Source organism: Homo sapiens, chromosome 13, assembly GCF_000001405.40.
Source record: "Homo sapiens chromosome 13, GRCh38.p14 Primary Assembly".
NCBI lineage: Eukaryota > Metazoa > Chordata > Mammalia > Primates > Hominidae > Homo > Homo sapiens.
Genome location: NC_000013.11, coordinates 29,694,218 through 29,708,117, shown reverse-complemented (window position 1 = coordinate 29,708,117; position 13,900 = coordinate 29,694,218). Strand labels below are relative to the sequence as shown.

General features: G+C 42.2%; 1 long non-coding RNA gene across 1 annotated transcript, besides 2 other annotated features; it reads right to left on the bottom strand.

The window, feature by feature from the left end:
• Window positions 4,434-5,633: an enhancer, noted in NCBI's record as "MED14-independent group 3 enhancer chr13:30276622-30277821 (GRCh37/hg19 assembly coordinates)". NCBI's record gives its function as "activates an origin of replication core promoter dependent on BRD2, BRD4, P300/CBP and CDK7 cofactors, and independent of MED14, by STARR-seq in HCT116 cells {active_cell/tissue: HCT116}" and the evidence as "EXISTENCE:reporter gene assay evidence [ECO:0000049][PMID:35650434]".
• Window positions 4,923-5,460: an enhancer, noted in NCBI's record as "H3K4me1 hESC enhancer chr13:30276795-30277332 (GRCh37/hg19 assembly coordinates)". NCBI's record gives its function as "activates a minimal SCP1, AML or CMV promoter by ChIP-STARR-seq in naive H9 embryonic stem cells {active_cell/tissue: H9 hESC(naive)}" and the evidence as "EXISTENCE:reporter gene assay evidence [ECO:0000049][PMID:30033119]".
• Window positions 10,192-13,118, bottom strand: LOC105370139 (uncharacterized). Its single transcript, XR_941804.3, has 3 exons — window positions 12,716-13,118; window positions 10,892-11,004; window positions 10,192-10,576 (listed from the first exon to the last, which is right to left on the bottom strand). It is a non-coding gene; the product is annotated as an uncharacterized LOC105370139 (long non-coding RNA).
• Window positions 13,119-13,900: the final 782 nt, after the last annotated feature.

The following is a 13,900-nucleotide window of genomic DNA, read 5'->3' as shown; positions in this document are numbered from 1 at the left end:
AGGGCATTTGGTCTGGGTCACCAACAGAGGGTGCTAGACACCTTCAGAACAAGGCTGGGTCTGGGGCCGGGGCCTCTCTGGAGGTGATGGAGTTCTCTCCTCATTGCAGACAGAGGTGGAGCCGGGGCAGGACTTGAGCCCCAGTATCCACACATTCAGCGAAGGGAGGAGACAAACCTGTTCCCTGCTTGGGCATTTCCCCAGCATCACAAAAGGAAAACCAACCCCTTGAGTGGATAGAGGATAGGATCTGTGTTGGGTTTGCTCACTGGTCTATCCCCAAGGGCCTGCACACAGTGCCTGGACAGAGAGGGCATGTGAGAGTAGGAGGGAATGTGGGAAAACCAGACAGGAGCGGGGCCACAGTGTTCTGAGGCTTTATCTCTGGCCTTTGCCTAGTGAGTCTTGGAAACAAGAGTTACACATGAACTCCTGTACACCACACAGTGGAGTCTGTGCCTGGCCTGGTCTTTCAGCCGGATAGAGCTAGGTACGGACAAGGCCCAAGCAGGTCTCACTAGCTTGGCAGAGAGGACAATTTCCAGGAACTTGCACCTCTTCACACCACCCCATTCCCCAAACCAAGTCCACAAAAACAGAGGAGACAAAGCAAAGAAGGAACAGAGCAAAAATGAGATCAAAACCCTCCTACAGAGGGCCAGCACTTTAGGCCACCATGTCTTCAGGTGAGAGTGTCCATTTGATGTTTTGAGAGTCAGAGATGGGGCTGCTGGGGCCACAGGTGAATCCAGGAATGGAAGAAATGGAACTGAATGCATCTTCTGTTGAGCTGCTCGTCATATAGTTTTCTGTGTTTCACATACTTGTCTATTTTTCCCTTTATTGCAAGGAAATACTCGTTGTGTGCAAGGAAATCAGCAGGAAAAGAGGGCAGTTAGGAGTCAATGGGAGAGCCAGACAAACAAGGGAATGCTGTTCTTCAGAAGACGAAGCCTGGCAACTACCACCCAGGGCTGGCGGTGAAACACTAACACATCCGCAGGCATCCCCTCTGTGGGAAGCAGTCTTGCCACGTGCAAGGTTGCTCAAGGACAAATGTTGTAAGGACAAATCAAAAGAGCTTATGATGTTGTCCAGTGCGAGTCGCTCACAGTAGCACATTCTGCTGAGAGGGTCGGGTGTTATAACAGTGAATTGATGAGGAGGAGTTGAAAAGTTTCTTTTTCCTGTGGGTTTAGAGTTCCCGCATAAGCTTGAACAGTTGAAAGTGCTTGTGAATTCCTTATTTTTTGTTTTAAATTCTCCTGAGACATGTTCCATAGGATCTTAGGATTTTAGAATGGAAAGGAAAAAACAATGAGACTTTCAAAGTCTCTTCCTTATATTTACAGCTGGAGAAAGCCAAACACTGTGGTGGCTAGTGTCTGACCCACACCTCAATACACACACCACACACACATACTCACTTATCCACTCACACAGAGAAAAAAGAGTAGTAAGGATGAATCTTCCTGATATTAAATACCAACCAAAGGCCATTGCTTTGCATCTTGTTTATGGCTCTGCAGCTCATGTTAGGGGCCCAGCTCTCCCAGTGGCTGTCGAGTTCCCTGAGCACCACCAGCCCTCTTGCCAGAGAGTGTGAGTCTTGGCCATGTGGTGCCTCCCTTGCTTCTCAAGGACTTGGAAAATGTTCTTAGAGTGAAACTAGAAAAATTTACCCATAAAGGATTAGCCATCTGTGAGAAATAACTAAGAAGAATTATTGGTAAACATGTCACCAAAGACATTGGAAACATCCAAAACTCAAGCTGACTCAAGGAGGAAATGCAGCCTCTGGTGATAATAGAGTATGAGGGGTCCTAGCCATGCCCTGTTTGGAGAAGGGCAGTGAGAATCCACAGGATGGCTTGCTCTGTAGGCCAAAGGCATGGAGAAAAGGGTGGAAGTCAGGGAAGCCAGGCTCACCTCCCCTTCTCCCCACACACAGGGAGCTGGGGTGCTGGTTAAACCTCCAGAAGCCACCCAGCAAGTCTGTCCCCAGAGTCAGGAGGGAGATTCCCTCCCAGCACCTGGGCCAGGAGAACATTCTGAATGTCGACCAACACCAGCATCTGATTTTCTGCCCTGGAACTGTCTACAGAGGCAGAATGCCCTGAGCAGGTGGTGGCCTCCCCTTCTCAGTGCATTTCTCACTGTAAGTGCATAACTTGTTACTCTGGGGTGGGGGAAGTATAAATAGTAAAACAGGCCCAAGACAAGAGCAGTGCTCTCTTTATTAGTTTTCTGGGGCTACTGTAACAAATGACCACAAATTGAGTGACTTAAAACAACAGAAATTCATTCTCTCACAGTTCTGGAAGTCAACAGTTGGGAATCAAGGTATCAGAAAGGTCACACTTCCTCTGAAGGTTCTAGGGAATAATCCCTGTTTGCCTCTTTCAGCTCCTGGTGGCTCCAGGCTTATTGGCTTGTGGCTGCATCACTCCAGTCTCTGCTTCCTTCTTCAGGCAGCCTTCTCCCCTGTGCATCAAATCTCTCCCAACTTTCTCTTAATAAGGATACCTGTCATTGGACTTAGGGCCCACCCTAAATCCAGGATGATTTCATCTCAAGATCCTTAACTTAATGACATCTGTAAAGACACTTTTTCTAAATAAGGTCACAGTCACAGGTTAGAACTTGGCCATATCTTTTTGGGGGCCATGATTCAACCCACTACACTGACCCACATCAGTGTCCCAGGCCTGCCATGCTAGGTCAGCCTCTGGGGGATGCACATTTTCACAGGGATAGCCAACCCATGGAACTGTGCGGGGCAAACTGCCTTCATCAAGGTTGCCCCTTGTTGTAGCATCGTGCTCTTATTTTAAGCTAATTTTGCTGACCACTTCAGCTCTGTCATTGCATGCGAAAATGCACCCGTGAAGTTGTCCCTAGCTGGTCCCCACTGCCTGCAAACCAAATGCTCAGCCTTGAGGAGCACGTCACATGACAGACAGAGTCAACTTTCAGAAAACGTCTGGGAAATTTCCCCTTCTGCAGTCAAGAAGCATCTAGAGAACTTTGGGTATTCCTGGATATGGAGTAAAAAAAGAGGCTTGGCTAAACTCATTTATTAAAAAATGCAATATCCTCATGTTTTTTTCCCAAGGGGAACATACAAAGGGCTTGTCCCGGCTCTGCCAATCCTGGATTTGCCTTCCACTCTGGCTTTCCTTCTGACAGTGCAGGTCAGCACCTCCAGGGACAGCAGCTCTGCACAGACAGGCTCAGCCTCAGAGCAGCTGCCAGGCATGGAAGAAGCTCAAAGTGCTTCAGCCCATGCTTCAGTGAGTGTCTGGCAACCAGGAATAGATAAGGAACGGTAATAGCCACTTAGAGGCAGGACACACAGTGTGTCAGGCCTTAAAATCTAGATTCAGACTGGGTTTAAACGTTGGACCTGCCACTGGCCAGTGATATGACAGTGACCAGATTCCTTACTGTCTCTGAGCTTCATCTGAAAAGTGAGCAGTTGTGAAGACTGAACAAGTTTCCCAGGTAAACTGCTGAACATTCTGTGCCTGGCTCTCGGTGTGTGTTCAGCAAGCATTCTTTGTTAAGGCTGTTCTAATTATTAAGAGGAAGGAAATTGGCCAATTCCACCCCTTTATCAGATCCCTCAAAGCCCAGGGCTAATGGATTGGAAACAGAACTGTGAAATAGTCACCTCCACCCCATGAACTCCTGCACTTTCTCACCTCTCTTGTCATTGCAAATGCATTTTCAGTCACTCAGAGACTTTGCCTTGATCGTCTAATTTGTGTAAAATAATGCAAGGTTGGTTTTCTAGATCTAAGGAGCCAGGAGGAAAGAAATTATGATGACGGGCTCTGCCATTGTCTCCTACCAGTAGTCCTGGAGGTCTGGAAGAGCTTCAAGCTACACGTTGCCTTCTCAATCTGCCACTCTCTTGCAGAGTGCTCTGAACAGGAACTATTAATAATTGCTACCCAACTAAAGAGCCCAGTGCAGCCCACAGAATACTTGACAAAAGGCCCAGCCAGGAGAGCTTAACTGGGGACTGGGGAAGAAAGGACCAAATGCTTCTTGCAAGTGACGTCCTCACTACTGCAACGTAACAGGACCCAGCGCACGAGGCATTTGTCTGATCCTCACTCCACCAACAGAAAGCAATTGGCGTGGAACCTCCCTGTCATCAGCTCCCATGCAGTCCTGAATAAACCCTCTCGCCTTGATCCACTCACCCCTCACGCACCTCCTCCCCCATCAGATGGCTTTTTTCTCCCTTTCCTCCAATGCCAAGTTATTTCTACCCCAGGGCCTTTGAACAACCTCCACCTCCCGTCAGATACACTTTTTCTCAGACCTTTGCAGGGCTGGATCCATCTCCTCACTCAAGTCTCAACTCAAACATCACCTCCTCCAAGGCTATGTGGTCTAAATAAATACTCCCACTCCTTCCCTGGTCAATGAGCCTGTTTTGTTTTCTTCATAGCACTTCTCTGTATTTGATATGGTCTTATTCTGTGTTTACAGTTTGTTGCCTGTTTTCGTTTCCCAGGAGGTCAAAGGGCTCTGTTAAGGTATGCACATTGTCAAGTTCCCAAGCGCTAATAAAGAGGGTCTGCAGGAGGCAGAGGAGGAGAGGGAGGACCTGGATGCTGAGGCTGGTGAATGACGTTACTGGGGGAGCTGAGGAGGATTGGGAAGAGCATTCCAGGTGAGGGTATCAGCAGAAACGAAGCTCGGAGGCCTGAATGTTGGTGAGACCGTCAATGCTGAGTGATGACACTGGCCCTTGGCAATGAGACTTGACTGCTACTGCTCTGGCAACTTCAAGTCCTGCCCAGGGTGGATGGGAACGGGGATGAGGAATGCACCCAGGAGGGTTTTGGTGGAGTCCTGGAAGCCTGTGGGAGGCCAGGAAACAGCGATGGCGAAGGAGTGGAGACCCCGGGGTCATCGCTGCGAGCTACAGCACAAGCCCGGGAGCAGGAAATGAGTCACTGGAGGCTCCCAGAGGCAGTCGGCAGGGCGAAACTTTTAAGCCAGATCCCGCAGTAAAGCAAGCCCCGACTCTCCCTGAGAGGGAGGCATTATATAATAACTGTCCGCAGAGGGAGAGGCTGGGTGCGTGCATCAGGAAGGGTGGAAAGACAGCTCTTACTTAATCACAGTGCTGATCCATTGCTCAACTCACAGAATGCATCTTTTCCATCTGCCAGGGGCCAAGAGTTGGGTTATTGGCTCTGCCTCCAGCTGCATCTCAGCGACCGGCATTTCCTTGGTTTTCTGTTTTTATGGGATTAGGCTGCTCACTCCCTCATCTGACTCTTAAGGAAACAGGGAAGATTATCTGATTAATATCTGTAAAGTTCTTTGGAGACCCATTGAGAATGAACCAAAGATTACTGGAATAGCAATACTGTACTTTGAGTTGACATGGCTATTTTTTGAAAAACGTTAAATAGCCTTGCTGATGATGGAGCAGATTTTCTTACAGTATAGTTCAACTTTCATTCTTTAGCCTCCAGAGACGTAAGTTGAACCTGGACCCAGGATCACAGTGATGTTACTTATTCACTTATTGGGTTGTTAATATTTTTAGTACTGAGTTGTAGAGTTCTTGGTATGTTTCAAATATAAATCATTTGTCAGATAAGTATATATATGTGTGTGTGTGTTTGTCCCATATATATCTCCAATTTATGGTTTACCTATTAATTTTCTTGAGCTCTTTTTGATGAGCAGAACTTTTACATTTTATATATGTATATAAATTTATTTCAATAGCTTTTGGGGTACAAATGTTTTTTGGTTACATGGATGAATTGTACAGTGTTGAAGTCTGAGATTTTAGTACATTCGTCACCCCAGTAGTGTACATTGTACCTCATCCACTTCTGAGCCTCCGAAGTACATTATACCACTCTGTATGCCTTTGTGTACCCACAGCTTAGATCGCACTTTTAAGTGAGAACATACCATTTTTGGTTTCCCATTCCTGAGTTACTTCACTTGGAATAATGGCTTCCAGCTCCATACAAGTTGCTGCAAAAGACATTATTTTGTTCTTTTTTATAGCCAAGTAATAGTCCATGGTATTGGCCGGGCGTGGTGGCTCACGCCTGTAATCCCAGCACTTTGGGAGGCCGAGGCAGGTGGATCACCTGAGGTCAGGAGTTTGAGACCAGTCTGGCCAGCATGGTGAAACCCTGTCTCTACTAAAAATACAAAATTTGCCGGGCATAGTGATGTGCATCTGTAATCCCAGCCACTCAGGAGGCTGAGGCAGGAGAATCACTTGAACCTGGGAGGCGGAGGTTGCTGTGAGCTGACATCGCACCATTGCACTCCAGCCTGGGCAAAAAGAGCAAAACTCCATCTCAAAAATAAAAAAAAAAGTAAAAAATAGTCCATGGTATGTGTGTGTGTGTGTATATGTGTATATATATATACATACATACATATATATATACATACATATATATATATATGACATTTTCTTTATCCACTCATTGGTTGATGGATACTTAGGTTGATTCCATTGCAATTGTGAATTATGCTGTGATAAATATCATATAGATGTCTTTTTGATATAATGACTTATTTTCCTTTGGGTAGATACCCAGTAGGGGGGTTGCTGGATTGAATGGTAGATCTGCTTTTAGTTCTTTAAGAAATCTTCATACTATTTTCCATAATGGTTGTACTGATTTACCCTCCCACCAGCTGTGTACATGTTTTTCACCATATCCATATCAGCATCTACTGTTTTTTGACTTTTTAATAATGGCCTTTCTGGCTGTGATAAGGTGGTATCTCACTGTGGCTTTAATTTGCATTTTCCTGATGATTAGTGATGTTGAGCATTTTTTCTTATATTTATTGGCCATGTGTATATCTTCTTTTGAGAAATGTCTATTCATGTCCTTTGCCCACTTTTTGATGGGATTATTTGTGGGTTTTTTCTTGTTGATTTCTTTGAATTCCTTGTGGATTCTAGACACTAGTCCTTTGTCAGATACAAAGTTTGCAAATATTTTCTCCCATTCTATGGGCTGTCTGTTTACTCTACTACTTATTTCTTTTGCTGTGCAGAAGCTTTTTAGTTTAGTTAGGTCCCATGTATTTATTTTTGTTTTTGTTGCATTTGCTTTTGGGGTCATCGTCATAATTCTTTGCCTAGGCCAATGTCCAGAAGAGTTTTTCTTAGGTTTTCTTCTAGAATTTTTATGGTTTCAGGTCTTAGACTTAAGTCTTTGATCCGGCTTGAGTTGATTTTTGTATAAAGTGAAAGATAGAGATCTAGTTTCATTCTTCTGCATGTGGCTATCCAGTTTTCTCAGCACCACTTATTGAATAGGGTATCATTTCCCTGATTTATGTTGCTGTATGCTTTGTTGATGATCAGTTCAACAAAGTATTTGGCTGTATTTCTGAGTTCTCTACTCTGTTCCATTGGTCTATGTATCTATTTTTATACCAATACCTTGCTGTTTTGGTAACTACAGACTTGTAGTATAATTTGAAGTCAGGTAATGTGATTGTTTCAGATTTGTTCTTTTTCTTAGGATCACTTTGGCTATTAGGATTGTTTTTTTCTAATTCCCTGAAAAATGGTACTGGTATTTTAATAGGAATTAGATTGAATCTGGAGATTGCGTTGGGCAGTATGGTCATTTTTACAATATTGATTCTCCCAATCCATGACCGTGAGATATATTTCCATTTGTTTGTGTCATTTATGATTTCTTTCAGCAGTGTTTCGTAGTTCTCTTTATAGAGATATTTCACCTCCTTGGTTAAGTATATTCCAGGCATTTTTTTATAGCTATCGTAAAAGGGATTGAGCTCTTGATTTGATTCTCAACTTGATTGTTGTTGGTGTATAGCAGTGCTACTGCTTTGTGTACATTGATTTTGTAACCTGAGACTTTATTAAATTCACTTATTAAATCTCAGAATTTTTTGGAGGAGTCCTTAGAGTTTTGTAGGTATAAGATCATATTATTAAGCAAACAGGGATAGTTTGAATTTCTCTTTTCCAATCTGGATGCCTTTATTTCTTTCTTTTGCCTAATTGCTCTTGATAGGACTTCTATGTCGAATAGAAGTGGTGAAAGTGGGCATCCTTGTCTTGTTTCAGCTCTTATGGGGAATGCTTTCAACTTTTCCCCATTTAGTATGATGTCGGCTGTGGGTTTGTCATATGCAGCTTTCATTATTTTGAGATATGTTCCTTCTATGCCTAGTTTGTTGAGGGTTTTTATCATAAAAGTTTGCTGGGTTTTATCACATGTTTTTCTGCACCTATTGAGGTGATCATATGGTTTTTGTTTTTAATTCTGCTTGTGTGATGTATCTCATTTATTGACTTATGTGTGTTAAACCATCCTGCATCTCTGGGCTGAGACCCACTTGATGATGATGTATTGTCTTTTTGATGTGCTATTAGATGCAGTTTGCTGGTATTTTGTTGAGGATTTTAGCATCTATGTTCATCAGGGATGTTGGTCTGTAGTTTTCTTTTTTGTTATGTCCTTTCCTTGTTTGGGTATTGGGGTGATACTGGCTTCATAGAATGAGTTAGTGAGGAGTTCCTCTTTCTCAATCTTTTGGAATAGTTTCAGTAGGATTGTTACCAATTCTAAAGGCCTGGTAGAATTTGGCTGTGAATCCATCTGAAACTGGGCTTTTCTTTTGTTTGTTTGCAGTTTTTAAAAAATTACTGATTCAGCCTTACTGCCTGACTGCTAGGATAAAAATCACAGACTTTTCCCGCTGAGCCCAGCACTGCACCTGTGCCTCTACTAAAAGAAACTTTCTGCAAGCAGAACATTCTGGGACTCAAGGCTTGCTCTCTGAATTCTTTTGTCCCACAGGTTGCTCCCTTGATGTGGTGCATTCCCCCTTCCCCTAGAAGTAGGAGTCCCTGAGAGCCAGACTACTGGAAACATTGCTACTCCTATGGGTCTAGCTGCCCAGTGGGGCTGTCACACTCCAAGCTGGTGTTGGGGAATGCCTGCAAGGGATCCAGAGATGTGATCTGTCCTCAAGTCTCTCAACAGTGGGTACCAGCACCAGTTCTGACAAGGGTGGCAGGAGAGTGATGTAGACTCTGTGAGATTCCTTGGTTATAGTCTTAGTGCACTGGCTTTCTCAAATGCTGGTTGTGGTAGGAATGAACTGGTCACGTGTACAGACTCAGGAATCCTGGTTAGCCAGGGTGATGCAGGCAATGGAGATAGCTGAGGTCACACACAAGTGGTATAAATATATATATATATATGTGTGGTATAAATATATAGTGGTATATATATCATATTTTATATATATATTTATACATATAATTTTCCCTTTGTATATAATTTTTATAATTATGCAATTTATATATACATAGTTCTATAATATATGAAACAAGATATATAATGGAATATTATTCAGCATTTTAAAAATGACATTATATTAAGTGAAATTAGCTAGATCAAAAAGGACAAATAGTGTACTCAAATTAGTCATATTCATAAAGACAGAAAGTAAAATAGTGGTTACCAGGGGCTGGGCAGAGGAGAGAATGAGGAGTTACTATTTAATGGGTATAGAGTTTCAGTCTGGAATGATGAAAGAGTTTTAATATGGATGGTGGTGATGGTTATATAACAATGAAAATGTACTTAATACCACTAAATTGTACACTTAAAAAGGGTTAAAATGGTAAATGTCATGTAAATTTTACCACAAAAAATAATAGTAAATACCAGCAAGGGTACTTCATTCCTTATTTTATAGGAGAGGAAAACAAGGCACAGATACCAAGGAACTTGCTCAAAGCCGTAGAGCTAGGGAGGGGCAGAATTAGAACATGCCTACACAAAACGAGCTTCCAACCTGTGCTCCCAGCAGTTTCCTGTATTGTCCCTTTCAAAGGTATTTTTTGTGGTAATATTTATAACAGCACAAATTCACACAATTTAAATGTCCAACGATTTGGCTGAATTGTGGACTATCCATTTAGTATATTATAGAACCATTAAACTTACATTTCTGAAGAATTTTCTAATAACATGGATAAATTATCTACAATTTATTTACACACTAAGTGGGGAAAATGTCAGTATATAAAAGTGAAATAAATTATGATCCCAGTTTTATTTTTTTAAATTATACAAAGACATAGTTTAAGTACGGTTAAGCATTAAAAGAAGGGATTATATTCAAGTTATAATGAGTTTATTTTGGAATTGTAAAATTTGAAGTTTTGTTTTTTCGAATACTTTTCTGAGTGTTTCTGTATTCATTATCTAATTGCTGTGTAACAAATTATCCCCAAATTTAGTAACTTATATAAATAATAAGCACTTCTTTTCTGTCACAGTTTCTGCGGGCCAGGACTTTGGAAACAGGTGGACTGATAGCTCTAGCTTGAGATTTCTCATGAGGATCAGTCAGACGTGTCAGGGCTGTGGTCACTTGAAGGCTCAACTGGGGCTGGAAGATCTGCTTCCAGGGAGTCTCATTCACGTGGCTGGCAGGGTGGGTCCCCTCCACAGTTGTCTTGGAGTGTCTTCACAACACAGCAGCTGACTTGCCCCAGAGCAAATCCTACCTGCAAAACCAAGGAGGACGCTTCAATGCCTTCTATGACCTGGCCTCAGCTATCACACATTGTCACTTCCACAGTATTCTATGAGAACCACAGACTAATCCTAATTCATGCGAGGGGACTGTACATGGGAGTGAGTTCCAGGAGGTGTTCGTCATCTTGGAGGCTGCTTCTGCAGTGTCAAATTTTGTAAACAAATGTGCGACAATGTAGAATCAGGATTATGCCTCTGGGTATTCCTCCTCACAACCCATAATCTTAGTCTAATGATGAGAAAACATCAAGCAAACCCAAATTGAGAGATATTCTACAACATACCTGGCCAGCACTCAAAACTTCCAGGGTGCCGATAAACAAGGAAAGACTGAGAAGGTTGGAGGAGACTAAGGAGACGTGATGATTTAATGTAATGTGGGATTCTGGATGAGATCCTGGAACAGAAAAAGGACACTAGTAGAAATACTGGTGAAATACAAATAATGCCTGAAGTTTCATTGATGATACTGTACCAATGTTAATTTCTTGTTTTTGACAAATGTACCATGGTAATGAAAGGGTTTAACATTAGTGGAAACTGCATGGGAGGTATATGAGAACTGTGTGTACTCTATTTGCAACTTTTCCATAAAATTAAAACTATTCCAAAATGAAAAGTTTATTTAAAAAAGAAATATATTTATTTAAAAAAGAAATATATTAATAATATATTTATTTAAAAAGAAATATATTAATAATATATTTCTTTTTAAAATAAAATTTTAAAATTAAATATTAATAAATATAAATTAAAATATTAATATACTTTTTATTTTGGAATAGTTTTAATTTTACAGAAAAGTTGCAAATAGAGTACACACAGTTCTCATATACCTCCCATGCAGTTTCCACTAATGTTAACCCCTTTCATTACTATGGTACATTTGTCAAAAACAAGAAATTAACATTGGTACAGTATAATAAAAAATAATAATAAAATAAATAATAATAAAAACATTAAAAAGAAATATAGTTTAAAGTAAAGGTAAATATTTGACTGATTGGATTTATTTTAGAAGCAAAGGGGAATCTTGCTCTTAATAAGAAAGCAGAAAATTCAAAAAGGGGTCATGCAGAGCAGAGAACCACTGCCATTGGGAAGCTCAGCTCCCAATAAGTTTAATGGTTCTATAATACACTAAATGGATGGTCCACAATTGAGCCAAATGTTTGGACATTTAAATTGTTTCCATATTTGTGCTATTATAAATATTACCACAAAAATACCTCAATGCCTTTAAATGCAAATGTGATGATATGCACTATGAATTCTCAAGAGGGAAAGCTATTTCTTATGGAATAAATTTCAATGAAAAGCTATCAAAAGGAACTTTTCTCACGTATCCTTTGTTATCTTATGTGTTTTCAGCCTGATCATCGATGGTTCTAATCAGATGTCTGAGTTTGTCCTCAATGTTTCAAAGCTTGGCTCAGCAATAAAGGGTCTTTGGCCTTCTGTCTTTCAAGGGTGCCCTTGTTCTGTCAACAAGCACTTGCCGAGCACCTCCAGTGGGGCAAGGGCAGTGCCAGGAGCTAGTCACAAAGGTGATCAATACAGGCCCCTACTCTCCAGCTCACCTTTACTTGGAGAGATAAAAGAAACTGATCTAAACCAATTTGGCTTATGAGTGTCAGGTCCTTTTTGGTGGATGATGATGGCTTTCAATGATTAGGGGAATCCCTCAGATGCCTTGGTCCAACCGCCTCACTACAAAGTAAAGCGTTAAAATGAAAGCAAATTATAGGCCCCATTCCACAACATGAATCAACTTTCATTAGCAAGCAGGTAGAGAGCTGGTCACTCAACCTGTTCTGTTATTTTGGTGACTTCAATCTCTGTTCTTTCAGGCCCTCCAACAAACACCCTGCAGGAAAGTTTCACTAAAGGCAAATGCGACTGTATCCTGACAGTAGGTCAACTAAATCAAATCAATGGCAGAAGCTTCTTGTAGGTGGAAGGCCCAGGGACGAGCCGAGTTTAGACCTTGAGCGTGCTCTGTTCTACCCATGAAAGGGCAGAGATGCCTGTATTAGTCTTTCTGGCCCACCATGTAGCTTGAACTCCGCCCATTCTGTAAGTGGAAAATTACTTTCCGCATCCCTTACCCAAAGAGCAGGTCCTCTGGTGCAGATTCGGATGAGGATATTTGAAGTTGCTGCAGCCCGTCTGGGCTGTGGACTCCTTTTAGGGCTTTTCATATGTTTGCTAACCACTCTTCATGTATGGGTTCCTGACTAAGATTCTTCAAATACTAACTAAAAGCTCCAGGTTGTTGATAAAAATTGACACACACATGTTATACTGTTAGAGAAACATAACACAAAAATTAAAATAATTCAAATACAATGATAGGAGCAAATGTCTGTAAAAAGCACTCTAAGAACCCAGAGGCGGAGCCGGGTGAGGAATTGGTGAGGCTCTCAGTGGTGGTGTTAGGGAAGCTTCTAGAGGAGCCAATCTGAAGCAAAACTCCAAAGGATGGACAGATGTTTCTCAGGGGCCAAGGGGAGAAAGGGATTCTAGGCACAGGGAGCCACTAAGGAAGGACAGAGAGCAGGAGAGAGTTGGTTACAGACAGACATGGCATGGGATCTCAGCAGGAGAGGTGGTGGGCATAGAGATTAGAATGGGAGCCAGGTGCCTGGAGTCCCAGCTATTTGGGAGGCTGAGGCAGGAGGATCCATTAAGCCCAGGAGTTCCAGGTTGCAGTGAGCTGTGAATGCACCACTGCACTCCAGCTTGGGTGACAGAATGAGACCCCATCTCTAAAAAAAATTTAAAAGGGAGGGATTGAAAAGGGGAGGGAATCCAAGTCTTGAAGGCCACCCTAGACTGAGAAGTGTGGATTTGATCCTGTGGGTAAGGGCCATTTGAAGATTTTGAGTAGCATTTAAAGTGCACAACTAGATTGATATTTTCTTTTTTTTTTTTTTTTTTAGGCAGACTCTCACTGTTGCCTAGGCTGGTGTGCAGTGGTGCGATCTCAGCTCACTGAAACCTCCGACTCCCGGGTTCAAGCAATTCTCCTGCCTCAGCCTCCCGAGTAGTTGGGATTACAGGCACATGCCACTACACCGGGATAATTTTTTGTATTTTTAGTAGAGATGGGGTTTCACCATGTTGTTAGGCTGATCTTGAACTCCTGACCTCAGATGATCCACCCTCCTTGGCCTTCCAAAGTGCTGGGATTACAGGCATGAGCCACCGTGCCTGGCCCAGATTGATCTTTTCAAATGTTATCTCTGGCAGTCATGCGGAGAAGAAGTGAAAGGGAGGAGAAATTGGAATTA